At 49.7% G+C, this 27,735-nt stretch overlaps 1 long non-coding RNA gene across 1 annotated transcript, besides 2 other annotated features; it reads left to right on the plus strand.

Moving 5' to 3' along the window:
- Positions 1-24: 24 nt before the first annotated feature.
- On the plus strand, positions 25-12,910 carry LOC102724943 (splicing factor 3A subunit 2). Its single transcript, XR_007059141.1, has 5 exons — positions 25-76; positions 2,400-2,536; positions 7,172-9,742; positions 10,763-10,871; positions 11,047-12,910. It is a non-coding gene; the product is annotated as a splicing factor 3A subunit 2 (long non-coding RNA).
- Positions 4,039-4,538: an enhancer, noted in NCBI's record as "H3K4me1 hESC enhancer chr5:6770439-6770938 (GRCh37/hg19 assembly coordinates)". NCBI's record gives its function as "activates a minimal SCP1, AML or CMV promoter by ChIP-STARR-seq in naive H9 embryonic stem cells {active_cell/tissue: H9 hESC(naive)}" and the evidence as "EXISTENCE:reporter gene assay evidence [ECO:0000049][PMID:30033119]".
- Positions 6,003-7,202: an enhancer, noted in NCBI's record as "MED14-independent group 3 enhancer chr5:6772403-6773602 (GRCh37/hg19 assembly coordinates)". NCBI's record gives its function as "activates an origin of replication core promoter dependent on BRD2, BRD4, P300/CBP and CDK7 cofactors, and independent of MED14, by STARR-seq in HCT116 cells {active_cell/tissue: HCT116}" and the evidence as "EXISTENCE:reporter gene assay evidence [ECO:0000049][PMID:35650434]".
- Positions 12,911-27,735: the final 14,825 nt, after the last annotated feature.

A 27,735-nucleotide genomic window follows, 5' to 3' on the forward strand; every position in this document is an offset into this window, starting at 1 on the left:
GCCGCTTTGTCGTTAGGGTCCCCGATGTCGGACATGAGCTTGATGAGTGGAGGAGCCGGGCCCCATGAGGATGCTGGTCTGTTCTTCCCCAGAATCTGCCTATGGCTCAGCCTCAGAACCTCAGGAATGGAAACAGGAGCAGAGAGCTGTCTATGCGGGGAGGTCCTGGGTCCAGTTTCCATCTCACTCCCCGATGGGCTTGTGAACTGAGGCGGTGGCATTCTCTGCCTGGCCCTTTTGTCTGGTTGGAGAATGAGACCTACTGCCTGGAGCGGTGGGGCCTGGATGCAGGCCTTGGCGCAGGGCGCTTTGCAAACTGCCTGGTGCTTTGCAGATGCCTCTCACCGCAACCTTCCCCTCCAAGCCTGCAGCCTTTAGGACTTCCTGCTCCTCTGCTGCTCCCTCCCTCCCTCTCCCCTCGCTGGCACTCTCTGTCTGGCTGCCCAGGGCACTGACTCACTGGAGTGCCCCTGGCTCACCGCCAGCAGACATTTCCCTGTCACCGCCAAGGGCTGAGGAGGTGGCTGAGGCTCTGGCCCCGGAGCCTGGAGGCCAGGGCAGCTGCAGAGGAGCAGCTGGGTGCCATGCGGGCCTCTGGGAAATGTCCCAGACACCTGCCTTGGAAGCCCCAGGGGCAAAACAGCCACTGAACTCTACAGGAGCCCCACCCTGAGGCCACTTCTCCCTCAGGGAACCAGTGCGCTGTGTGGGGTGGAGCGAGTGAGGTCGGGAAGCTGGGGCCATGTCCGGTGACAAGGAGGATCCCTCCCGGACATGGGCGAGGCTGGGAGTGGGCAGCCAACTAGCCAGCCATGGGTCCTGGGAGCTGGCTTATTTTGGTTGTTAGGTTTATGGCCATATTAAGAGAACAGCAGTTTTGGCAAATGCCCTACAAGTAGACACTCAAAACCTACATTGGTAGAGAATAAATATTTCTTATTTTATCAGTGCAAAAGAACACAAAACTGTCTTTTCTCTCTCTCCACTCTTTTTTTTTTTTTTTTTTTTTTGAGACGAAGTCTTGCCCTGTCGCCCAGGCTGGATTGCAGTTTGCAATGGCACGATCTCGGCTCACTGCATCCTCTGCCTCCCGGGTTCAATCGATTCTCCTGCCTCAGCCTCCCGAGTAGCTGGGATTACAGACGTGCACCACCACTTCTGGTTAATTTTTTGTATCTTTAGACAAAGTTTCACCATGTCAGCCAGACTGATCTCGAACTCCTGACCTCATGATCTGCCCACCTTGGCCTCCCAAAGTGCTGGGATTACAGGCGTGATCCACCACTCCGGGCCCTCTCTCTCCACTCTTTAAAATAATCCTTGTCTCCTTTTTGCTGTGATTTCACGTCCTGCAGGTGGGAGGTACCAGCAGGTCTGGACAGGCGGGACTTGCCTTGTGTCTTCCAGTCTGGACTGGCTCCATGGCTACCCTTCCCACAAGGCCTCCGCATTGGTGCTGGGGAACGAGGCAGCAACTTGATCCTCAAGTTGCTCTGATTTGTCCTTACACAGTAGCCCTCTTCTCTAGCAGGCATGTCAGGGTGGTCAGGAGACAGGAGGCGGGGGCTGGGGAGGGGTTAGGCCTCAGCCCGCATGGGGGGTGTCCTCTGCAGGGAGGTGAGCAGCTTAGCATCTGCCAGCACCAATCATTCTGTGGGCTTCAGGCTGTAGCGGGGCTCTAGTTGCCTGCTTCCTGGCCCTGGAATGACTTGGGTACGGGGAGTGTTGGCTGGATGTGCAAGAGTCAGATAATGGAGGTGGGTGGGAGATAGGGCTGAGATGTTTTGTCCCCTCCACATATGTTGAAATGTGGCCACCAATGCTGGAGGTGGGCCTGCTGGGAGGTGTTTGGCTCATGAGGGCTGATGCCTCCTCAGTGGTTGCTGCTGTCCTCGTGGTAATGAGTTCTCACTACGAGTTCACGCAAGTTCTGGTTGTTTAAAGAGCCTGGCACCTCCTCCCTCTCTCGGGCTCCTTCTCTCGCCAGGTGAGGCACCTGCTCCCCCTTTGCCTCCTGCCATGAGTGGAAGCTTCCCAAGTCCTCACCAGATGCAAATGTTGGTGCCATGCTTCCTGTACAGCCTGCAGAACTGTGAGCCAAAGAAACCGCTTTTCTTTATAAATTACCCAGTTTCAGGTATTTCCTTGCAGCAACATGAAAGACTAATACAGTGGGGCCCACCAAGCTGCCTCGTAGCCGGAGGGAATCTCTTTGGCCAACAGTTGGCCTTGAGAATGTCAAACAGACATGCAGAATCTAAGAAAACACAGAACGGGCAGACAGAGAGTGGGCTTTTCCTTCATGTTGGGTATTAGAAAAGGGGAGATTCCCATTCCTGAGGCTGTGTCAGGGTGTGGGGGGTGTGGCCTGCCCTGGCCTGAGGTGTGCTCCTTTTAAGACTTCCCACCCATTGGTCAAAGCGTCCACCCTGAATGGACCAGGTTGCTGGTGGACACTGATCCCTGTGGCCAGGGCCTCCGAGCATTTGGTGTTCAGCTCATCGGGGACTCTGTGGACACCAGAGGGCAGAATGGGGTCTGTCTGCCCAAAAGCCCCGTGGGGAGTGAGCGTGAATTACCCCAGAGTCTGTGTAGGGAAGCCTCCTGGAGCCTGGTGCTTTCTCCTTTACAGTGGCTTTCAGTTTGTGGATTTTTCTGAAGTTATTGGCCTTGGAGCTTGCGTCAAGTTTCCCGAAGACCACTCCCAGTGTTGGTGATTTTCTCAGGAGGACTCACAGCCCTCATCACGTGGTGCTATCCTCACAGCATGGTTCATTACTACGAAAGGACACAGAGCAAGCCAGCAGGGGAAAGTCACGTGGGGCAGAGTCCGGGGATCTGGGCGCAAGTTCCCAAGAGCCTGTCCTGGTGCAGCTACACAGGACAAGGTTATTTTCTCCAGTGTCAGGTTATGACAACACTTGTGAACTGTCAGCTACAGGATACTCTTAGGGACTCAGCGCCCAGGGTTTTTACTAGGGCGTAGCATGTACCCAAATTCTAGGCTCCCTGAGGGAAAGCAGGTGTTCAGTGGAAAGCACACTTGTTAAAAGTGGCTGAGGCACAGGGAGCCACCCTTACCATCTGGGGACGCTGGGGATCCTGCAGCCCACTGTGCAGGGATGGGGGTGCCGTGCTGCATCCCAGGGCTGAGGAGGATTGTTTGGCTGGGGGGCTCTGTCAGTAGAATGCAGAGGGGAGGGTCCCTCCTGATGTTCCCAGGAGTGAAGGCAGCTCTTCATAGTGAGTCTAGTGTTGGGCCCTGCACTAACACAAGCAGGTGCCCGGCAGGCGTTTGCCGAGGGAGGGGAAGAATGAAGCAATGTATGGTGGGGTTTCTAGAACCCTCCCTGGGGATGGCTTCTCCGTGGAGGGTAGTGAATCCCACAGCCCCACAAGGCCCTCAGCTGGGGTGAGTTTCAGGCCACAGCGGCTCACTGGCCCTGTGACCTGATGTGAGGGCCACCAGGGCAGGGCTTTTAGATGCTTCCCCTGTGCTGTGTTCTCGGAGGCCTGAACACAGAGGCTCACTAAATACTTGCTTGTTGAGAAAGGCCAATCCCTAAACAAACCACTGTGATGGGGGCTTAGCAGATGCCAGTTGACTTAGCTTGTCCCCACTGTCCTTGGAGCCTGAGGCAAAAGGAGCTTCCCCTCATGCACCAGAGACCCTTCCCTTCTGTGGGAAGAGGAAAGGGTTACCTGGGAGACTCTGTCCTGTTCTGGCACAGGAAGGGGGAAAGGACATGGCTAGCAAGCTTGGCGGGGGCCACTGCATGTGGCTTGGGCTGCTGCCCATAGGCAGGATGTCCTCTGTGGCCAGGGGCTGGCTGATTTCCGCCTTGTGTTTTTGCCTCTTTGCTCTTCTGGGAGGAGGAAGCTGGATCTGGGAGTGGGGCAAGGGGAGGCTGGCGGCTGCAGGAGGGATGCCTGAAACCCAGCCTTCCTTGGTCCGTGGCCTGAGGTGAGGCCACACAGGGTGGTGATGGCCTGCCCTTGCTGGAGCACGTGCAGCTTCTGCGTCATGAGCTTGGAGACCAGGGCCACGCTCTGTGTTGTCATCTGTGCTGCTTCCCTGTCCCCAGGGCTACTTAGCCCCTTCGGGAACTGCCCCTTCCTGCAGGGGTGACAGGGATCCCTCCCTGAGGCAGAACTCCACCCCCGAAGCCCATGTGGCCCTTCCCTGGCATGTGCTCCCTTGCCAAGGGAGCTACCATGGAAGGTGTCTCATGGGTTCCTGGGGGCTGCCTCTGAGCTGTGCCGGCTGTTCTCCACATGAGGGCCCTGGCAGACGGACCACTGGGCTGGAATCCATGCTCTGCACCCTGGGCTGGGCTGTTCTGTCCAGAGGAAGGGGCTCCCCCTCCCACTTCTCACAAAGGGACCCTGTGGACGAGCAGGGGCAGGGGAGCCTGGCACAGCCCAGGCGGGGCAGGCTCTTCTCCCTGTAGTGCCCAGATTATGACGAGTGACCCGGTTCCTGGGCTGCTGTTACGTGTGCGGGGCTCTGAGCTGCTTCTGCAGGTTCTGCTGCAACCACAGTATTAGGGTGCAAGGAACATGGGGTGAGGGCCTTGGAGCTGCCGGGGCTCTTGGAGCTTTGTCCTTAGCGCTTGCCAGCTTTGGAGAACTTGCCTGCAGTTCCCAGTGTGGCTGAGAGTACAGACTTGAAGGACACACAGAGAAAGGGCAAGGTCGAGCTTGGCCTTTGCATCTGGATGGTGGCCAGGCTGTTGGCCACACCCTGGGGGTAGTTTATGTGACAGCTGTTGCCTCCACTGGTTGGGGCAGGACTGCTGGGTGGTAGTACTGTGGAGAGCTCACGTTGGCTTCACTGCAAGGCCCGCAGTTGCCCCTCATGTCTGTTTCTCTACTTGTCCATCTGGAAACTCTACCCAAGCTCCAAGACTCAGCCCAAAGTCTCCTCCTCTGTGAAACCACCCTGCCCGTAGCCTGACTCTCCAGGGAGAATTAATTACTTTTAGAAGAAACACACACTCATTCCACCTTCCGAGGACAGCATCTTGCTCTAGTGACTCAGTCTGGGAAAGACAAAAACTGTGATTTGATGGAGTGATTGTTGGTGCTCTTGGCAGTGTGTGTGTGTGTGTGTGTGCACGTGGAGGTTGTGTGTATACATGTGTATGTATGCATGTGTGTACCAGCACACACACAGGAAAGTGCATGGGTAGGCTTAGTAATCTAGAACCTCTTAAGCATCACCCAGGGCTTGTGATGGGGCCTGTTGATTTATCGTCTTATCATGATGTTTTTACCTGAAACTATTTTCAGCTCGATTTCTGTTTGACAGGGTACCGAGTGAGACCCAGCTGACCTGGAAAATGACAGGGACACTTTTTATCCTTCCAACTTAACCTTTCCGTCCTGACTTAACCTTTCCCTCTTTGACACAAATGAAGAAATTAGGGCTCTTGACTGCTACTGATTTAAGGGGATTACAGAGGCACTGCCAGCGAGCATGAGCACAAGAGTTTAGCGCCTCTCGGCAGCTGAGAGAGGATGCTGCATACTTGGGGCCTGGGACCTCCGAGAAGACCTTCTTCAGCCGAAAGCACACCTTATTCTTGTCCCAGTTGAAGGCTTCCCAACGGTCTTCATGTGGCACTTGCTGTGTGCCAGGCCCCACTCTGGGCACTTGGTTTATTTAATTCTAACCATGGTCCTAGGTGATGGGCGCTGGTATGACTGTGGGAAAGGGACAAGGTGGGAGATGTGAACGAACTTCCGGAGCCCTCCCTCGGGCAGCCTAGCTCCCCGCCTCCTCCAACACCTTCTGTTGCTTTTCCAGCACAGCCAGTACTGGGCTCTTGGGTTCGAGCACGGGGCGGGGTGAAGGGTGCTGGGAGGTCACATTCTTGCTTCCCAGCACTGAAGACTGGAAGAATGAATGGCACAGATGAACAAGGCCGTCCTGCATCCGCCGCTCACTAGAGGCTTCACAGCTGCGTAGGGACACAGGACATCTGTACAATAAATACCAATGGTATTAGTGCCCTAGGGCTGCAGGAACAAAGCACCACAGACTGGGGGTGCTGGAACAGCAGAAACTCAGGCTCTCCCATTTCTGGATGCCGGAAGTCCAAAATCTAGTGTCGGCAGGGCTGTGTCCTCTCTGAGGTTTCCAGGGGAGGAGGCTTCCTTGCTTCTCTGGCTTCTGGTGGTGGCTGGCAATGCTCGGCATTCCTTGGCTTATGGACGCAGCACTGAAATTGCAGCCCTTATCTTCATGTGGCCTTCCTTGTGGCGCTCTGTGTCCAAATGTCCCTCTCCTCTAAGGACACCAGTCATCGGATTAGGCCAGCTCTAATCCGGTGTGCCTCATCTTGATTTAACTAACTACATCTGCAAAGACACTATTTCCAGATTACGTCACGTTCCGAGGTTCCTGGTGGACGTGAATTTTTGGAAGACGCTGTCCAACCTGGGACACCAGCCAGCCCCTCTCTGGCTCCCTCAGTCCCTCCACCCTTCGGAAGTGGTAAATGGTGGCTTGCTAACAGCGCCTGTAGCAGCCACCTCCTGGTGATGGCAAAGGAAGGGCCCTCTCAGTCATAGGGGCCAATGGCGAGGAGGACCTGGGACGTGGTGCACTGAGCATTTTCCCTTCTCAGCAGCTCACTCCTTTGTGTGTCTGTGATGCGAAGGCTGTGACATCAGTCAGCCTCATGGAGAACTGGAACAACGGGCTCTGTGTCTTTGGAGAACGCGTCAAGACCAGGGCCTCTTCCCCTGCTCCCATGGTTCCCAGCGTTCTTGTCTCCTGAGAGAGGATGTAGTGGGTGTCATGTTCAGCATCGCAACTGGCCTCCGTGGAAACCAGGGTGGAGCTCAGACGGGTGTGGGGGGAGCATGTGACTGAGCTCCTTCCCACTCTCTCTCCGGCACACACGGAGTCAGTGTAGGGAGGTGATGGGTAAGGGCTTGAGTTTTGGGGTTGCACAGCTTGTGGGGACCCCACCTCATTTCCTAGCTAGGCAGACCTGGCCCAGTGTCTGACCTTTCCCATCTGTAAATTAGGGGTGCAAATAGCATCCACCTCCGGGGTGTGGTGAAGGTGGAGCCAGTACCCAGCCAGTCCAGCTCTTTTTTGTTAGGATTGCCCCACTGCGGCCACACCCTTCCATCTGCCCGCTCCTGTTCCCGCAGGTAGACTCAGCCTGTGGGATTCTGGCCTGGCTTCCCGGCAGCAAGCAGGAGCTTCAGATGCTCATTCCCGCCGCGGTCGGCTGTGGCGGCGACTCATACCCGTTTCCGCTCGAATGATGCCAGCTGTCCTGCTGCGCCACCTTCCTCTGTCCTCGCATCCGCTGATGGGATTTCCGGTCGCTTCCACTTTGTGGCTCTTTTGAAGAATGCCGCTAGGAACATTCACACGCAGGTTTTTGGTGTGGACGTATGTTTGTATTTCTCCTGGGCACACCCGGGATGGAGCTGCTGGGTGGCATGGAATTCCACCTGTGACTTACTGAAGAGCTGCCAGGCAGTTTCCCAGAGGGGCTTCATCGCTCTGCCTCCCCCCGCCGCTCCTCACCCCGCCGCTCCTCACCCCCCGCCGCTCCCCCACACACCCCCCGCCGCTCCACACACCCCCCGCCGCTCCCTCACACCCCCCGCCGCTCCCTCACACCCCCCGCCGCTCCCACACACACACCCCGCCGCTCCCTCACAGCCCCCGCCGCTCCCTCACACCCCCCGCCGCTCCCTCACAGCCCCCGCCGCTCCCACACACACACCCCGCCGCTCCCTCACAGCCCCCGCCGCTCCCCCCCACACCCCCCGCCGCTCCCTCACATCCCCCGCCGCTCCCTCACACCCCCCGCCGCTCCCTCACACCCCCCGCCGCTCCCACACACACCCCCCGCCGCTCCCACACACACCCCCCGCCGCTCCCACACACACCCCCCGCCGCTCCCACACACACCCCCCGCCGCTCCCACACACACCCCCCGCCGCTCCCACACACACCCCCCGCCGCTCCCACACACACCCCCGCCGCTCCCACACACCCCCCGCCGCTCCCTCACACCCCCCGCCGCTCCCCCACACACCCCCCGCCGCTCCCCCACACACCCCGCCGCTCCCACACACACCCCCCGCCGCTCCCACACACACCCCCCGCCGCTCCCCCACACACCCCCCGCCGCTGGTCACGGGTCCACCCTTCAACTGCAGCCATCCCAGGGGGTGTGAAGTGGATCTCACTGTGGTTTTTATTTTCATTTCCCTGATACAGAATCCACAGAGACATAAACAGACGAGTGGTTCTGAGGGGTGGGTGGGGTGGGGCGTGAGGCAGGGAGAAGAGGGAGAAGGTTCTGGAATTAGATGGTGGTGATGGTCACACAAGGTGGTGAATTGAACATACTAAAAACCACTGACTTGTACCTTTTAAACTGGTGAATTTTATCCCAATGAAAAAAAAACACCTTGTTCCTCCTTTGAGACCCAGCTCTCGCGCCCACTCCTCCAAGAGCCCGGGGTGTCTCTGCACCTCATTCATATCACTGGTGTGACTTTTGTATCTTGTGCTGTGATGTGGACAGCAGACCCTTCTCCCTTGTATGTTTAACACGCGTGTTGTGGTGTGGTGTGGTGTTGGCTGCTCAGGACACACCCTGTCGTCCACCGCACTCGGGGAGTTTCCTGCGTGACACTGGGGTCAGCAGCGTGGTTGGAATCTGGTGATGGAGCTGGTCCCTGCCCACAGCCCCCGCCACATCAGTGGCTTTTCCCGCAGCTCCCCACAAAAGGATGTGCCGCCTAGCAGAGATGAGAATCAGGTTTTCTTGTAAGAAAGAGTTGCTGAAGGAAAGCCGGTCACGTGCAGTGATGTTGTGAAAGAAAGTGATGACAAGCTAAAAAAAGAAGGACACTGAGAAAACATTATTATCAGCAGAGTTTATCTGGGCCAGATTTGGGGACCCCAACCCCAGGATGCTACCTCAGGAGTGTTCTGAGTTGCAGCGATTACAAGCAGATTTTTTAAGGACAAAATGAGGAGATGTGGCAAGGTGGTCCCAGCCCCTTCACCTAGAGGGGCCCTTGTTGACAGAGGTGAGCTGATGAATGATCAGTTGAAGACTCCCGTGCTTCTGGGAATAGTCATTGTGAGCATGTGGTCAGCCCGGTTGCTAGAATTCTTCCCATGAGCAGGTGGGGTCCAGGAACTTCAGGGGCTGACTGTGGCCTCATGCCCAGTACCTTTAGCCATTTTAATTTACCAAACCTCATTGTCCCATTCTCTTTTCAGGTTCTTGGCCATAAAATATGGCTTTTGGAAAAATAAAGCTGAGACTTGGAGTTCACGGTGGGGGCTCCCCCATCTGTGAACAGAAGCAGAAGTTTGGAACTGCCTTCTTTACTGCTCGAGAGGGAAAACTTGAGTGAAAACCAGGATGCTGGCGAATGTTGAGTAGCTAAGCTGCACAGGAAATACCACTTGATGACCTGCGATCTGGGGAAGCCGCGCCAGGGCTCTGCGAAGCTGCGGACGAGGGAGGCGTCAGTGTGGGGGCTGCAGCTCAGCTCCGGGGGGGACGCGCCTTTCTCCACGGGACCTGGGGCTCAGGTGCTCACGAGGCTGGGGCGCTGCAGGCCACCCGCAGGGGAAACTGAGGCCCTCCATTTTGTGGGGCTGGAAGACCTTTCCTTCCAAAAGCAGGTGTAGGCGGGAGCACCTGTGCAGTCCCTCTGTTCAGATCCTCACCCACTTTTAAATCAGGTAATTGCTTTTCTTGTTATTGCATTGAGTTCCTTATGTATTTTAGATATTACCCCCAAGAACATTTATTTTAAACACTAGCTAAAGCTCTCGTAAGAACTGATGTCTTATAAGGTAAAATACTGGTTTAAGAAAGAAGTTGATAAAGGGACAGCACCAGACAAAGAGTGGCAGCACCAACAACCAGTGCGAGGGCTCCGTTCAGAAGGATCTGGATGGTCGCCTGGACGTGCTGCCGTGTCATGTCTTAGGTGGTTAGTCAATCCACATGATGGTTTTAAGTCAAATTCCCAGCTTTGGGACCAACCCTATCCCCCACGGCAATCCAAGAAACCCGATCCAGGACTCTTTCCACTGGGAGTTGTCAGAACTGTGTCTTCATCCAAGACAATTGGTTTCCCATACTCATACTTAGAGGGAACCCTGGCCCCTTTAAGGTGGGGCTCCCTCAACTTGGGACTCGTTACTCCTCAGTTCAGCTCCCCTGCCATTGCTGGCCTCCTTGACAGAGTTCAGAGGATGCGGCTCCATCCTTCTCCCTCTGTCCCAGCTTCTTGTATGTGAAAACAAACCAGGGAGGCTGGAGGCCCTGAGTACATTTTTTTGAATTCTGGGCAGCAGCGTCGGTGGCCTCGGTGGTGCACTGTGTTCAGGTGGTTAGCGGTCATGCTGATCTGTGGTGATAGTGCTTGTTGGCACCACAGTGAGAGTTCATGCTCTCGCGTGTTTCAGAGATGGTGGGAGGTGCCCACAGGCAGGTGAGGAAACATCCTCCCTGGAGAAAAAGGCAGCAGGAGAGCATCAGGAAGCTGGCAGAGCTGTCTGCTTCCACTAATCTTTACTATTGAGAGGCCCTGGCTCATTATACAAATTGGGCACACGGCAACAGTGCTGGGATCAAAGGCAGTTGTATTCTGTCATCCCATGGCATCGCCGGGTACCCTTCATTTTACTCCTGAGGCTGTAACTTGGACAAAGCGCTTTCTGCTGCTTTGGATGAAAAATTCTTTTCCTCCACAGGAAACAGCAGATGAAATGCACAGTGTGAAGGACAAGGATTCTGCTGAGAGAATTGCTCCGAGGGTTGCTCAAGTGATCATGGGAAATAATGCATCAAACCATTCTTTAGGTATTTTTTTAAATTAGGAGGTAAAAAATCTGTGCTGTTTGCCAAAATGATTCTTACACAGACAAGCTAGGAAAATTGCTCTGAAACATGACACAGACTCCTGATTTGGCCCAACTAGGGTGTGAAGGATGAAATCCATCCTGAGCCCTTCATCCCTCTGCTTTCTCTGGTGCAGATGCAGCTCAGGTGTGCCTTTTCTTCGCCTGTGCCCATCCACCTGAGATGGACCATAACCATAAAAGTCAGAAGGCACTGACCCTTCAGGACGTGACAGGGTTAAAAGATGCTGGAGGGAAAGTCTGTCATTGACTTTTATTCACTTCCTTTCTCCATTCTGCCATTTGGAAGAAGGTAAGCAACTTAACACTATTTTAGACCATATGTTGTAAACTAGCAGGAAAATGCCTTTGAGCTGATGATGGTGGCCCGAACACAGTGAACCTGTCTTAAATCCCTGCTTTAAACCCTTAAGGGTGTCACTTACAAGAGATACTATTTGAAGTCTTCCCATGCATGTGTAGGGTGGGGGGAGTACCAACAGCTCATCGAATGGGCTCCATTTGAAAGATCTGGATGGTTGCCTTTATTTGTAACTAGTTTCTTTTCTTTTTTTTTTTTTCCTTGAGATGGAGTCTTGCTCTATCACTGGGCTGGAGTGCAGTGGCGCAATCTCAGCTCACTGCAACCTCTGCCTCCCAGGTTCAAGCGATTCTCCTGCCTCAGCTTCCCGAGTAGCTGGGACTACAGGCATGTGCCACCACACCCAGCTAATTTATGTTTTATTTTTTAGTAGAGACAGGGTTTCACCATGTTGGCCAGGATGGTCACGATCTCCTGACCTCATGATCTGCCTGCCTCGGCCTCCCAAAGTGCTGGGATTACAGGCGTGAGCCACCGCGCCCGGCCGTAACTAGTTTCTTAGATGACAGCTCAGTCCACAGGATTGAGTTAAGTCAGCTTCCCAACTTTGGGGCTGATCCTGTCCTCATGGCAACCTAAGAAAGTCCACCAAGGATGTTGTCCATTGGAAGTTGTCAAGACTTTGTCCTCATCCAAGACAATTAGCTTCCCATACTTATATAGAGGGACCCCGTCCCTATCCCCAAAGTGGCTTCACACTCCTTAACTCAGCTGCCTGCCTGGAACAGAAGGAGAGTTGCTGGCCTCACTGACAGAGCATGGGGCTGGTTGACAATTCTAAAAGCCTGGCCTGTTCCTCTGATTGGCTACTCAGATAGGAGAACCAGAGCAGTAGCCCAGGCTGATAATCAGGAACCTGGGGCCCTGGAGTTACCTGCTGCTCCTGGTGTCTGCTAGAGCTCCCTAGACATCTTTTTAGATGGAGGTCTGTGGCTCAGTGTGCCATCACGCTGTCCTGTTGGCTGCAGTCTCAAGCTGGGACAGAATGATCAGACTGAATGCTTGTGTCTTCCCCAAACTTGTATGTTGAAACCTAATCCCCAATATCAGTGTGTTTGGAAGTGGAGCCTTTGGGAGGTGGTTAGCTCATGAGGGTGGAGCCCTTATGAATGGGATTAGTGTTTTTGTTGTTGTTGTTGTTTTTGAGATGGAGTATCACTCTGTCACCAGGCTGGAGTGCAATGGCGCGATCTCGGCTCACTGCAACTTCCGCCTCCCAGGTTCAAGTGAATCTCCTGCCTCAGCCTTCCGAGTAGCTGGGACTACAGGCACGTGCCACCATGCCCAGCTAATTTTTGTATTTTTAGTAGAGATGGGGTTTCACCATGTTGGCCAGGATGGTCTTGATCTCTTGACCTCATGATCTGCCCGCCTCAGCCTCCTAGAGTGCTGAGATTACAGGCGTGAGCCCCCGTGCCTGGCCTTGAATGGGATTAGTGTTTTAAAGAGGCCTGAGAGAGACTCCTGGCCACTTTTGCCTTATGAGGACACAGTGGAAAGGTCCCATCCCTGAACCAGGAAATGGGCACTTACCAGACACTGAATCTGCCTGCAGCTTGACCTTGAACTTCCCAGCCTCCAGAACTCTGAGGAATAAATTTCTGTTATGTGATAAGCCATTCAGTCTGTGGTATTTTGTTATACCAGCCCAAACGGACTAAGACACAGAACATAGCCTGTGCCTCTTCCAGTTTCTTCAGGATCCTTCTGGGCTCAGAGAATGGAGCTAAGAGGAAGATTCTACCATTAGGGCTGGTCTTCACCTGTCTCTTAAGACTGATGGGCTCCCCATTTGAATGACATTGATCAACCCGACATTAACCCATTGGGTATGGCTGGGGCAGCTCCTCTTATCTGTGAGGTGGGAACCAGGTTGGTAATGTTGCATCCTGTTAGCCAGGTTCCTAGTTCAGTTTAGCTGTTGTGCAGGTCAAGGACTCTTAAGGATTGAATTGCATCCCTTCAAAAGATATTGAAGTCCTAACCCCCAGAATCGGTGACTGTGACCTTATTTGGAAATGGGTCTTTGCAGACACAATCAAGTTAAGATGAGGTCATATTGGATTAAAGTGGTGTGTAATTCAATAGATGATCTCTTTAATGAAAAGGGAAATTTGTACTGAGAAACACAGAGGGAAATGCTATGTGAAGATGGAGGCAGAGATTGGAGTGATTTGGAGCAATGTGTATGTCTGCAAGCCAAGGAACACCAAGTATTGCCAGCCATCACCAGAGCTGGAGGAGGGGCCTGGAACAGATTCCCACTAGAGCCCCCAAAAGGATCCAACCCTGCTGACACTTTGACTTTGGAGTTGTGGCCTTCAGAACTGTGAGAGAATTAATTTGTGTTGTTTTGAGCCACTCAGAGTGTGGTATTTTGTTATAGAAGTCCTTGGATACTAATAAAGACATTAATAGCCAGATCGGAGGCACCCCCTCCAAGGCCTGAGAGAAGGTTGTTTTATGGAACCCTGGTTTAGTAGCTGGGACCACAGATGCGTGCCACCATGCCTGGCTATTTTTTTAAATTTTTTGTACAGATGGCATCTTGCTGTGTTGCCCAGGATTCTGGCTAGGGACTGTGGTTGCAGGTGCTGGGGCTAATGAAAATGGGCAAGAGCAGAATAGCACAGTAACATCTATTCTCTAAATCGACAATCTTTTCCAGACTACGGTTTAAGAATCTGTGCCCGATGAAGCTGAAGGGGGCCTCAGAACTGGTCTCGTGGTCCTCCTCTCAGCTCTGAGGTACTTGTGGCTTGTGGCAGAGCCGCTATGGACGTCGCTGACCTAGTGGTCAGTGCATACATCTGCAGAAAGGTCACTCTACATTCAAGTGAACCAATAGAGTGTCTAGAAATCTCAATTCATGGTGTGTGGGGGCAAGATGCCCATTCTGACCCTTTAAGGGGGCATCAACATTTCAGAGGGTGGTAGGAGTGGTGATGAGTCCTCCTTAGGGTGAAAGTTCACCCCTTTGGGCTACTAGAGGGCAGTCATTGGTATAATTTCTCTATTTTAAGCATTCTGATGTTTGATTACAACTTACCCATGGAAGGCTGAGTTTGTAGTTACTGAACCTTTCCAAGGCTGGGTAGCGTGCCTTCTCTCCCGAATGCTATGGAGTTCTACAGTGTGCCAGCATCTGTTTCTGTAGCTCCTTCTTTCATCACTGATGGACGTTTAGATTGTTTCCAGTTTCTACTACCACAAACAGTGCTTCAGTGACCATCCTTAGCTGTGGCTTCTTGTGTATGTGTGAGGATTTCTTCAGAATCAGGTCTCCACCTTGGACACTGTCCATATATTGGGCCAGATAATTATTTAGTGTTGGGGGTGCTGTCCTGTGCACTGTAGAACGCTTAGCAGCACTTAGCAGCATCCCTGGCCTCCACCCACTAGGTGTCAGTAGTGTGCACTACTTATCACCACCAAAAATGTCCCCACATGGTGTCAAATATCCACTGGGGGAAACATTGGCCTTCCCGCCTGTTCAGAACCATTGGGATAGATGAAAAATGTGAGGCGGTGTTTTTTTTGTTGTTGTTTTTTGTTTTGTTTCGTTTTGTTTTAAGACAGGGTCTCGTTCTGTCATCTAGACTGGATCACAGTGGCATGATCACAGCTCACTGCAGCCTCAACCTCCTGGGCTCAAGTGATCTGCCCACTTCAGCCTCCCCAGTAGCTGGGACCACAGGCGTATGCCACCATGCCCGGCTATTCTTTTTTTATTTTTTATAGAATGGCATCTTTGCTATGTTGCCCAGGCTGGTCTCAAACTCCTGGCCTCAAACAATCCTCCTGCCTCAGCCTCCCAAAGTGCTGCGATTACAGGCATGAGCCACTGTGCCTGGCCAAGAGTGAGATTTATGAATCAAAAGGTGCTATGATTTGAATATTCATCCTCTCCCAAATTCCTGTTGAAATTTAGTTTCCACAATGGCAGTATTAAGAGGTGGGACCTTTAAGAGATGATTGGAATAATTCATTCATGGATTAATGGATTAATGAACTAATAGATTATCATGGAGTTATAAGAAGAAGAGAACTTGAGCTTGTACTCCCAGCCCCTCGCCATGTGGTCTCCTGGGCCAACTCAGGACTCTGCAGAGAGTTCTCCATCAGCAAGAAAGCTCCTCACCAGATGTGGCCCCTTGACCTTGAATTCTTCAGCCTTCATAACTGCAAGAAATAAATTTATTTTCTTATAAATAGCCCAGTTTCAGGTATTCTGTCATAAGTAACAGAAAAGGGACTAAGACAAAGGGAATGCATGTTGAGTGTAATACACATGCTGAACAGTCATACAGGGGCTGGGCACATTCCACACTCCTGGAGGCAATGTCTAATAGACATTCGACACCATCACCATACTTACAAGCCATGCTGATGGCTGAGACAGGGCGAATCATTTAGTTTTGGGTTTGATTTTCTTAATTATTACCTAAACGTCTTCTCATGTTTATTAGTCATTAGAATTTCATTTATTATGAGTTACCTATTCAGTGTCTTTGTCTGTTTGTCTATTCTTCTTCTTATTGATGTTCAGAGAAAATATCCAAAATATTTGACAACCATGAGGGCACTGGATCTTCAAATGTCCAAACACCTGCCCCCATAGGATGGACACCAGCTGTTTACACCAACACAGGAGTCCTGGGTGCGGTGAAAGAACATCTGCCATGTGGATTTGTTGCTGTTCTTAATTTACTATGGAAATTAGCCTCTTGCCTGTGATAGAAATCACACGTATTATCTCTGAGTAGTCCCATGTCTTAAAGCTTTGTTTGTTATTTAAATTTCAAAGTAGACAAATTGAGATGTCTTCTCTTCCTTTATACATTTTATTTTATTTTATTTTTATTTATTTTATTTTATTTTCAGATGGAGTTTCGCTCTTGTTGCCCAGGCTGGAGTGCCATGGCAAGATCTAGGCTCACTGCAACCTCTGCCTCCCGAGTTCAACCAATTCTCCTGCCTCAGCCTCCCAAGTAGCTGAGATTACAGGCATGCACCACCACGCCTGGCTAATTTTTTTCGTATTTTTAATAGAGACAGGGTTTCACCATGTTGGTCAGGCTGGTCTCGAACTCCTGACCTCAAGTGATCCACCTACCTTGGCCTCCAAAGTACTGGGATTACAGGCGTGAGCCACCACACCCAGCCTATACCATATTTAGAATGTCTTTTCTACCTTAACATTCTCTTTTATGTTTTTTCCCTTATTGGCATTTTTTTTTTTTTTTGTATTTAGGACTTTAATTGAGGTGAAACATATTTTCTGATGAATGCTGTACTGGTAGGGATTTAACTTGCCAATGCCAAACTTCCAATGCCAAAACCATAGTAGCGGGTCAATTTAACAATCGTTATTTATTCTTGAATGAACAAATAAATGAGTTTCTAGGCTTTATCTCTCCACGGATGGTGTCGCCCCTTCCTGAATTGGCACGTCCCTGTACCTTTTAGGAAGTCTGGTAGGGTGCACAACCATCCCTCTTCATTCTTTTCCTTTAAAGGTTCTGACTATTGTTACATAGTTCCTCTTCCATATTACTCTGAGACTCAGCTTGTCTAGTTCCATTAAAATCTTTGCACTGCTGAATCTTTTCATTTTTGAATACAATAAATCCCACAACATAGTCAGGTCTTTTAAATGAGTTTGTCAGTAAGGTTTTATAGTTTTCTCTGTAATCTTGAACATTTCTTGTTAAGTTTCTTTCTCGGTTTATTATAGTTTTTTTATTATATATGAGATTTTTCTATGCATTTCTAATTGGTTCTTTCGGATGCATAGGAAAGTTAATGGTTTTAAAGATATTGATCTTGGCTGGGTGCTGTGGCTCACACCTGTAATCCCAGTGCTTTGGGAGGTCGAGGCGGGTGGATTGTCTGAGGTCAGGAGTTCGAGACCAGCCTGACCAACATGGTGAAACCCTGTCTCTACTAAAAATACAAAATTAGCCGGGCATGGTGGCAGGTGCCTGTAATCCCAGCTACTTGGGAGGCAGGAGAATTGCTTGAACCCAGGAGGCAGAGGTTGCAGTGAGCCGAGATCACGCCATTGCACTCCAGCCTGGGCAACAGAGTGAGACTGTCTTAAAAAAACAAAAAACAAAAAACAGAAATATGTATATATCTTGTCTAGCACACTGTTCATAGCCAGTGTTTAAAATATGACACCTTGTTTAAGTGCTATTTTCTAAAGACAGTTGTGTAGATTTTTAAGAGGCAGTCGCAGTGGTTCATTTTATATGTTAACCTGACTGGGGCAACGAATGCCCAGATAGCTGGTAAGACAGTATTCTGGATGTGTCTGCAAGGGTATTTCTGGAAGAGATTAGCATTGCAATCTGTAGCCAAATGAAGATTCCCTTCCCCCATGTGGGCAGGCATTGTGCAATTCACAGAGGGCCCAAGTAGAAAAAAAGGCTGAGAAAGGGGGAGTTCATTCTCTGCTGGAGCTGGAACATCCATCTTCTCCTGCCCTCTGGTATCAGACCTCCTGGCTCCCTCCCTTTCCCCTACCTCACTTCTCAGGCCTTTGGACTCAGAGACTGAATCACATCACCAGCTTTCCTGGTTCCCTGGCTTGTAGATGGCAGACAGTCTGACTTCTGGGCCCCCAGAATCACATGAGCCAATTCCCATAAAAAATTTTTCTCTCTCTCAAACTCTCTTCCTCCTATGTATGTAATATATCCTATTGATTCTGTTTCTCTGGAGAATCCTGATTAATACACGGTCTGAACTCAGAACATCACGCGTGTCCATACAGTGAAGAGTGTTGCACAAAGTGGCAGAGTGAATGGCACAAGCAGCCAGAAATTGCTTGTCCCTGGGAAAGAGCTGGAATGAAATGCTCCCCCAGGCTGGCCAACTGTGCTGTGGCTACCTGGGCCTCAGGGGAGGAGGGAGCAGTGGAGAGAACCAGGGCCCTGTGAGCAGGGAGGTCCAGGTTTCCTCCAAAAGAGGAATGTGGAGGCAGAATGGAGATCACATTGGGGCTGTTGCTTCCAGCTCTTCTGGAATCTGGAAGCACTCAAGTTGGTGGCTGTGTCTGGCTAAGGTTTCAGATGAGCTAAGAAGCGGAAGACAGTCCACTGTTGCCAGTCCCTTTAGAGAAGGAGGGAGCCAGGCTGAGAGGGCAAATCTACTGACCCAGGACAGCTGGAAGCTAGGGAGGGACGAGCTCCCGTGCATCGCAATAGATGCAATGGACGTGACGTGCAATCATCGGAGTCAGGGTTTAAGGCTGGGCTGCTCCACCTCTTCTGAGTGCTAAGAATCCCCTGGAATGTTTTCTAAAAACGTGGTTTCACTCGTTTGATCCTAAAGATTATGATGCTGGAGTCTGGGGGCAAAGCTCAGAGCTCTTTATTTTTAACAAGCATCCCAGGTAACTCAAAAGTAGCAAATACTGGTTTAATGTGCATTATCTTTGACCATTTGCAAGTGGGTTCTTAAGTTAACATAGTAAATTGAAAGATGAGACAGGTGCGACACATTATTCAGGGAAACCCTTCTGTTTCAAAGAATGACTGCTTGGCCCATCTGACTTGTGGTGGTAAAGGCAGGAAGATGAAATAAAGCACCCAGTGTGTGCAGTGTTTAGCATGAATGAAGTTAGAAGGAATGAAATCTACGTACAATTTGCCTACATAGCAGCTGCATGAAAGTGAGCTGGCTTGTGATACGGCAGCTTAGAAATAGGGCAGCTTAGAAAACCAGATTGGTGGGGGCAAGCAGGTGAAGGGAGGCCGGGGGTCCCCCATGACCTATACTTCCTTTTCCCTTTGCAAGCCCTAACCTGCTGCTCCTCCAACCCTTGACCAAGGGAGAGGATGGGCTCCCTGGGGAGGGCTGAATGAGGGTGGAGCATGATGTGTGTGTGTGTGTGTGTGTGTTGGGTGGATGTGTATATGTGAGGTATGTTGTGTGCGTGGTGTGTATTGTGTTTGTAGTGTGTTTATGTGTGCTGTGTGCTCTATATTGTGTGCATGAGCATGTGTGCATGTGTGTAGTATGGTGTGTATTGTGTATATGTGTGTGTTACGTATGGTTTGTATTGTGTATGTAGTTGTTTATGTGTGGTGCGTGCTATGTATTGTGTGTATCAGCATATGTGCATGTGTGTAGTATGGTGTGTATGTATGTGTGTGGTGTGTATTGTATATGCAGGGTGTGAATGTGTGTGTGGCATATTGTGTGTGTATGTATGTAATGTGTGTGTGTGTTGTGTGTGTATGTGTAGTGTCTGGTGTGTATTGTGTGTATAATGTGCGTGTAGTGGGCTGTGTGTGTGTGTGTTGTGTATGTAGTGTGTAAGGTGTATGTGAGTGTGCTTGTGGCATGTATTGTGAGTGTGTGTCTCTAATGTGAGGTTTGAAGGGCCTCACAGTTATGCCCACAAAGGTCACTTGGTCTTTCCTGGAGACGCCTCATGGGAGTTTTCACTGTGGCTTCCTGCCACTTGCTGTGGTCTTAAAAAAAGTAAAGAGAGTTACAAATCATTCCTTGTTTGCAGCATAAATTGCAGATGATAATTCAAATTCCTGCATCAGGTGGAAAGTAGCAGATTTAAAACACTGCAAAGAAGGGGCTGAGCAGTGAGACGGATGCTTTGGAACAATCGAGAAAGTAAGAGCCAGCTGTAAGGTTGCCTGCAGCCATGGAGCAATGAAGTGTCAAGGTCAAAGATCCCCCCAGGTCACGCAGTCCTGCCACTCTCCCTCCCTCTATGGCCCTGCGCACTTCCAGTGGCATAGCTAGGGTGGATGAAGGGGACACCTCTGACCACATCTCTCTGCCCTCTGACTCAAGTCCTTCCTGCTATAATGAAATCCCCCATGCTCCCTGAGTTTGGCATCTACTTAATCAAAGAATGTGGAGACTTAGTTCTCAGGAGGGCCGCTACTGAGTGGGTATGCCACTGGTCAAGAGGGTAACAGGAGACAGAAGACCCAGGAGGAGACTTTGGCCTAAATGGATCAGCAACACCACAGAGCATCCACTCCCCCAGAGCATCACCCGGAAGGACCATCCGTTCGGAGACATCCTGGGAGAACAAGAGGTTTCTTGTCTGACTCTAAAATTTATTTTATCAGTGTATCTAGGATTGGGCTGAGTTTAAACAGAAAACCTTTAAATAAGCACTATATGCCTGCTAGACATATTAATGCAATAAAAGAACCCTGTGTCTTGCTAAACTAAATTCTCAAAAGTTAACATTAAAAAATGATTCACGGCCAGGTGTGGTGGCTTACGCCTGTAACCCCAGCACTCTGGGAGGCCGAGGTGGGCGGATCACTTGATCCCAGGAGTTTCAGACCAGCCTGGGTAACATGACAAAACCCTGTCTCTACTAAAACTACAAAAATTAGCTGGACATGGTGGCACATGCCTGTGGTTCCAGCTACTTGGAAGGCTGGGGTGGGAGGATCACGTGAGCCTGGGAGGTCAAGGCTGCAGTGAGCTGTGATTGCGCCATTGCACTCCAGCCTGGGCAACAGAACAAGACTCTATCTCAACAAAACAAAACAACAGAACAAAACAAAACAAAAAAACCAAAACACACACACACACACACACACAGAAAGCGATTCACTTATTTTTTTCAATATAGACCACTTTTTAAACTTTTTACTTTGAAAAAAATAATGAATTCACAGGAAGTTGTGGAAAAGCACCCTGTGCCGTTTACTCAGTTTTCGTGATGATTACATTTTACATAACTACACTGCAATGTCAAAACCAGGAAACTAACATTGATACAGTGTGTGTATGGTTTTATGCCATTTTTTTTCTTAAAATTGTTTTTTCTTTTTAATTATCATGGATATACAAAGAAATGACATGCCATTTCATCACATGTAAATTTGTGGACGTTTTAACTTAGAGCAGGGGTCCACAGACTGTTGCCTGAGTGCCATATCCAGCTGGCCTCTGGCTTTTGAGAATAAAGATAAAGTCTCGGAACACAGCCACGCTCATTCATTTGCATATTGTTCGTGGCTGCTTTTCACTCCGGTGGTGGAGCTGAGTAGTTGTGTTGCTCGCAAAGCCTCAGATATTTCCCTTTTGACCCTTTATAGGAAAAGCTTGCTGATCCATGATTTAGAGAATCATTGGAATTTTTTTAATCTAAAAAAATCCTTGGGGTCCCTATAGTCTAGCCCTTTTATTTGATAGAGGAGGAAGCTAAGCTCAGGGCAGACAGAGGACATGTCCCAGGTCACACGCCAGTCAGCACCAAGTAAATCTATGGCCAGGGTCTCCTGACCTCCCTGCTGTTCTGGTCTCAGCAGGGCACTCAACTGGCCACTGGACCATTAAGCTGGATTTTATATTTTGAGCATGTTTGGGAGTTGGGCAGTTGGGTAAAGTAGTCCTCAACACAAATATTTCTTCTAAATTTCTTTTGTAGCTTGAATTCCACTGGGCAATCTGTTTGCTTATTTTCTTATTTGACTAAAAGAAAACGTGTGTCACAACATTAAAAATGGTGAAATGAGGCCATAGACCAGGGCTGCAACCTCAGTGTCCTCAGGCAGCCGATGTAAATGAGCGAAGCAGGAGAGGAACCTGCCCAGGGGCTGCAGGGCAGGGTGGGGACTGTGGCAAAGGGCATGCCCGAGGTGACCCAGCTCCAGTTCATTGTTCCTACATGTGAATGCAAGGCAAGAGTGGCCAGATTGGATTTTCAAGTGACCTTTTCTAATATTTAAATGTTAGCAACTACTTAAAAAATCCACAGACCCTGAGCAGTTCAACCTTGGCCCCAGGTTTCCCATTTACCACAGTTTACTCTTGGTTTGGCCTCAGGGATCTTATGAATTTGAGCCATCAGAATCAAGGGGTTGACTGAGAGGACAGGGATGGTGAAGATCCCCATCGCCACTCCAGTTCAATCTCTGGTGGAGGAAGGGTCATCTTCACAGGTGCGCCATGGCCCAGCGTTTCTACACGTGCTCACCTACCACTAGGTGAGCTCCCAAGGAAGCCGATGGCTCAGGCTGTACTGACCTCTCCCAGGGAAACAGTTGCTTCCCTGAGACCTTCTTACTAAATACACTTCCTACATACAAGAGCTGTCATACCCTCAGGTATGTAGGCGTGACCAACACTTAGTGTTCTCAGTAGGGGAACACTTGGTAGTACCAAAGACATTTTTGGTTGTCACAACTGGGGGCCTGCTGCCGGCATCCAGGGTGGAACCTGGGAATGCTGCTAAACACCCTACAATGTACAGCACAGCCCCCACCCCCAACAAAATACAATTTTTCTCTGGCCCCCAAACTCAATGGTGCCCAAGTTGAGAGACCTTGATCTAGAGCAATGAACCCGACATTTGTAGTTATCCAAGATGAGGTGCTCCAAAAAATCACGGGCCAGTGTTCAGTGAACATCGAACGTGGTTGGTGGGCTCTAGATATTCAGCCGAATTCAGGATTTCCTAACCTCCTGCTGCGGGTGATGCGTTCAGAGCCCATCAGGAAAGGTTGGTAGAGCGGAGAAACCTGGCCCAGAGGGATTCCGCACTGATACGGGCGCACAGGAGGCCGCACGGAGGAGGGAGTGGCGCCCCTAGAGGGAGCCTCAGGATGTAGCTCCTGAACCCCTTTAGAATTTTAATTCTCTAAATGAAAATGCCTATTATTTTTGAAAGGATTTGCTTAAACTTCTTATCTGAAAACAGTTACATTGCAGGGATCAATTTGTTGAAAGTGAAAGCAAAAAATCCAACACAAAGAGTAAACTGCCTCTTATCTATGTGTGAGCAGAATGCTGGAGGGGGGATTTGACTCTCCTGGCCTCAGTAGCGGCCCTTCTGAGAACTGTATGCCCAGTTCTGCCTGTCTGCAGGATTTCATCACACTGTGTGCAAGAAACCAAAGTGGGAGGAGAAGAGACATTTCGGTTCAGCCCATTTTTCCATTCTCACTAAGTTTGTAGTGTAAGAAATAATTGTAAATTTTTCTTTGACTTATATACTGCCAGTGAGACAAGGAAGTCATTTGAGGAAAATGTAATGGAAAAAGGAATTTCATCCATTTCCTCAAGAAAATCACTGTGTGTGTGCGTACATGCAGGTGCCTGCACTGATTACAGAAAATGTGTGAAAGAAAAAAAATCTTTCCATTGGAGCTTCAAATAAGCCAAATATTAACTGTTCACTTACTGGCTACTAACAACAGTTTTGGGGTTTTTCAAGGACGGCTGTCTGTTTGGAGGAGTAACTTTAATCAGTACAGCTGACCACGATATCAGCCATTAATTTCCAACATTAGCTTAAATCCTGTTTCTGATTATAAATATAATGTACATGTTCATTATAGCACACTTGGAACATACAGAACAATTATAAAGCAGAGTATCAAAACTACCTGGAATCCTGACATTGACAGATAAACCACTGTTAAGCATTGGTATATTTTAGGGCATGGCTTAGTAAACTATGGCCTGTTGGCCAAATCTGACCTGTTGCCTGTTTTTATAAAGTGTTCCTGGAACTCAGCTGTGTTCATTACTTTTTGTATGCTGTTTTCAAGATACAATGTCAGAGAGACCATGTGGTTGCAAAGCTTAACATATGTACTATCTGGCCTTTTATAGAAAAACGTTTGCCAGTCTCTGCTTAGGGAAGTCTTTATCATGTGTGCGTGTGTGTGCGCGTGTGTGTTTGCATGTGTGTGTGTGGGGGGCACATATGATAGACCCATTAAGTTGATAGGTTCGGTAATCATAGTGAGGAATCTCTAGGAAGAACAAGTTTCAAGTTTTCTGGGGACATAATGAATGGTTTTGGTTATGCTGAGTGTGGGAGAGCTGGGTGTGTGTTCCCAGGGGAAGCAGGAGCATGGTCTGAGCTGGGGCAGAGGTCCAGGGCTACAGCCTCGCTTGGTAATAGTGGAAGCTGTGGACACAGGGGGACAAATGTTCAGGGAGAAAGAAAAAGATCAAAGTTGGCTATGGGGAATATGGTGTGGTGAGCTGTTCGTATGCAGGAGAGGGACGATGAGAGAGGGAGAAGGCAAGGAGCCTCGCATCCCTTGTGGAGGATGGCGCCCAGCAGTGACAAAGGCTTCAAAGAGGAGGACTGAGCTAGTGGGTGTGAAAGGGCCCCTGGACTTGAAAATCATCAGGTAGTTATAACTCCTGCGCTCACGCACAACAGAAACACAGAAACGTTCACCAGAGTGGGGTGGGGAGGGAGTACAGGGGAGCCAGTGTGTTTTGGAAGGTAATGGGTATTTCATGGGATTAAAAGATGGGCTAACAATTTTGTACTCATTTGTTATGCAGCCCTAGGGAACTAACGAAGTCTCCAAAGTAGGCATTTTTCATTTTAGACTTTGTTAGTTATTTGTGTATTTCTGTGATTGCATTTCAACACTGGCATTCTTCACCCGTGAGGACCATCTTCAGGCAGGCCTTCCTTGTTGCTGGCCCCTCGTCAGTCCACTCACTCTTATTCTCAGCAATGGCTATTTCCAGCCTTCTCCCTGGACCTCTGCAACCACAACCCCATCTCCTCTCCCTGCTCTGATAACTCTGCTGCAAAGAGAGGAGCAGCAATCAAAATAAAATCCCTGCAGCTCCAGGGCCAAACGCACCAGCCGCCGGGTGTGGTGCCTCATCCCTCCCCTCCCTTAGGGGAAGTGCTGGTCTCACCTGCAGCTGCTTCTCGCGTCCCCACAGCCTCATTCATCCCCTCCTCTGGATCCTTCCCGGGAGCACACACACGTGCTGTCATGTCTTTTATTGCAAAACCAACAACCCTCCCTGGCCCCTGCACCCCTGTCTAGATTGTGCCTATGTTTCCTGCCGCTCTCACAGCAGCGAGGTGTTCACGCCTCACTGCCCCACTTCTCTCCTTCTCTCTGCAGCCCTGGCCACGCTTTCCCATCACCTCCTCCAGGTGGGTGCAGCAGCAGAAGGAAAGGCTGCTTGAAGTTGGTTCAAAAGAAAAGAGGAGGGGAGGAATGAATTTCTGGCGTTGAGACCTAGTAACTGTTTTCAAGGACATAGGATGGTTGCTGGAGGGGAGAAGGAGTATCAACAGAAGTCTATTTGGAATTTCTTTTTTTTGTGTGGGAAGATGCACGTAAAATAAAATTTTCCATTTTAATTATTTTTTAGGTGTACAAATTTATTAGCAATAACGACCTTCATAATATTGTGTACCCATCATTAGTATTTCCAAAACTTTTTAATCATCCCAAATGGAAATTCTGAACTCATTAAATAATCCCTTTCAGCTGCCTCTCCCCAGTCCCTGGAAACCTCTAATCTACTTTCAATCTCGGAATTCGCCTATTCTAGATATCTCAGGGACATGGAACTGCAGGAAACGTGCATGGATCAGGTGCAACCTGCTCCATCTGCTTGTTCTTCTATGAGGTAAGGGTCGTCCACCTACATAAAACAGAGAGAGGCTCTCTGAAAGCAAAGATGATTATCTGGGAAGAGAGCATTGCAATGGGAATATGCACATTTTAGTAAACTATGCCTGTATTCAGGGAGAGAAAGGAAGGCAAAGGTTTTTTGAGGGAAAAAAATGAAGAGGATTACTTCTTTTGATATAATTATGCTTGGCTACAAAGATCAACAGCAAGGGTGATAGCAGTCTGAGGTTGGACAGGCAGCTGCTGGACAGATGTCCTTGCAGAAGTGTTTTTTTTGTTTGTTTGTTTGTTTTTGCATAAGGTTGCAATGGTCTTTGAGCAAGGTTGTGATTTTTTGGGGGTTTTTGTTTTTTTGTTTGTTTGTTATCAGGCATATGGTTTTAGAACCCGCTGTTCATGGCTTCCCTGGCTCTATTTGTGAGAGTTTTCTTAACATCAGTGACTCTGTTTGGATTCTGAGAACTTTCACAGGACAGATGCTTTCCCAGTGGATGGGCTTGCAGATTTGGGGGTCAGTTGTTTCCGAGAAGGGGATGAGCTGCCCCTTTGCTCCCTTGCCTGAGCCGTCTTCTCTCACTCTGCATTTCCAGTACCGTGGCTGGGATCTTCCATCTTTATCCATCTGACTCCAGCAGCTTTTTCTCAGTTCCAAACTGGCCGGGGGTAAAAGTGAGTGTGATGAGCTCTCACAAACCCCAACAATTTAGTGCTTCACACCTGGCGGGTCCTCACTGAAAGATGGCTGAAAAAAGGAAAGGGTGAATGAGCAAAACACAGCTGTATTTTATTTAGTTTTCCATCTTTTATGATTTTAATGAAAGACTATCTAGAAAGCAGCAGAGTAGTTAATAACACACGTGGTCTCTGGAATCCGAAACACCTGTATCCAAACCCAGATGCTCTCTCTAACCTGTGAGATTGCTCAATGGGGCCGAGCCTTTAGTCTCTAGATGGTAAAATATTAGCAAATGGCTTGCACGTGTGATGTGCAAGGACTAAACAAGGCGTGCCTGTAAAGTGCTGAGTGTTCTGTAACTGGTAGGCACTTACTTTGTGTCACCTGCCCGCCTCCAAGGAATCTCATTTCCTAACTTGACAGCTGCCTCCCGGATCCTGCTTGGACAGATCCCACTAGGGAGGTCCACACCTGTGAGAGCGGCAAATGCATTGTTGTCGAGCTCTTCCTATAGGTAGAGGAAACCGAAGATGGGGCATAATGACTTCCTGGGAGTGGCGGGAAAGGCCCAGACGCTACCTGACATTATTTGTGGCTGCAGTTGAAGATCTGGGTGTGCACCTCCAGCCTGTGCATCGGGACTCATGGCGCAGCTGAGTCAAAGCCGTGCCTCTGCTGCCAGAACGGAGATCTTGACTAAATTTATCCTGAATTTCTTGCTGTGCCAGATCCATTCTGACTTTGAACTTTAAGAAAACAGCTCCTTGGGTTATGCAACTGGCACCACTGAATGTGAGCTGGGAGGAAGTGACAGGAAATCTTGTAAAGAGAACGGAAGAGCATTTCTCCCCAGCTCCGAGGCAGGTGGTGTTGGCAACTGCAGGCAAGGTGGGGGGAGTGGGTGGTGCGGCCCCCTCACCCTCACTGAGCCTCTCTTTGGGCTTCTCCTCCTCCCACATCCCCTCTGTGCTGAACAAAACTCACCACTCCTGGGCCCATTGCTTCAGGCTTTGCAAGGGGTCTGGCGGAGTAATCTGAAACAAATTTAAGCAAGATATGGGTGCTGTAATGATTTGATGCAGTCATTAGACTCACCTGGGGAGCTGGTAGAACTATTGATGTGGAGCCTCATTTCCAGAGATTATAAATTAATTAGGCTGGGGGTGAGCCTGGGTATCAATATGTTTTAAAGCTCTCCAGGAGGTTTTGCCGTGCAGCCAGGGCTGAGCTCCATTGATTGGAGGCATTGTCTTCCAGACGATATTTGCAACAGCGGAAGCTTGGGAGCCTCATTTCCAGATCTGTAAACTGAGGGGCTTGGCGTATATGATTTCCAAGATCTTCTAGTCCCAAAAAGGGT

This window comes from Homo sapiens, chromosome 5 (genome assembly GCF_000001405.40).
Source record: "Homo sapiens chromosome 5, GRCh38.p14 Primary Assembly".
Lineage (NCBI taxonomy): Eukaryota > Metazoa > Chordata > Mammalia > Primates > Hominidae > Homo > Homo sapiens.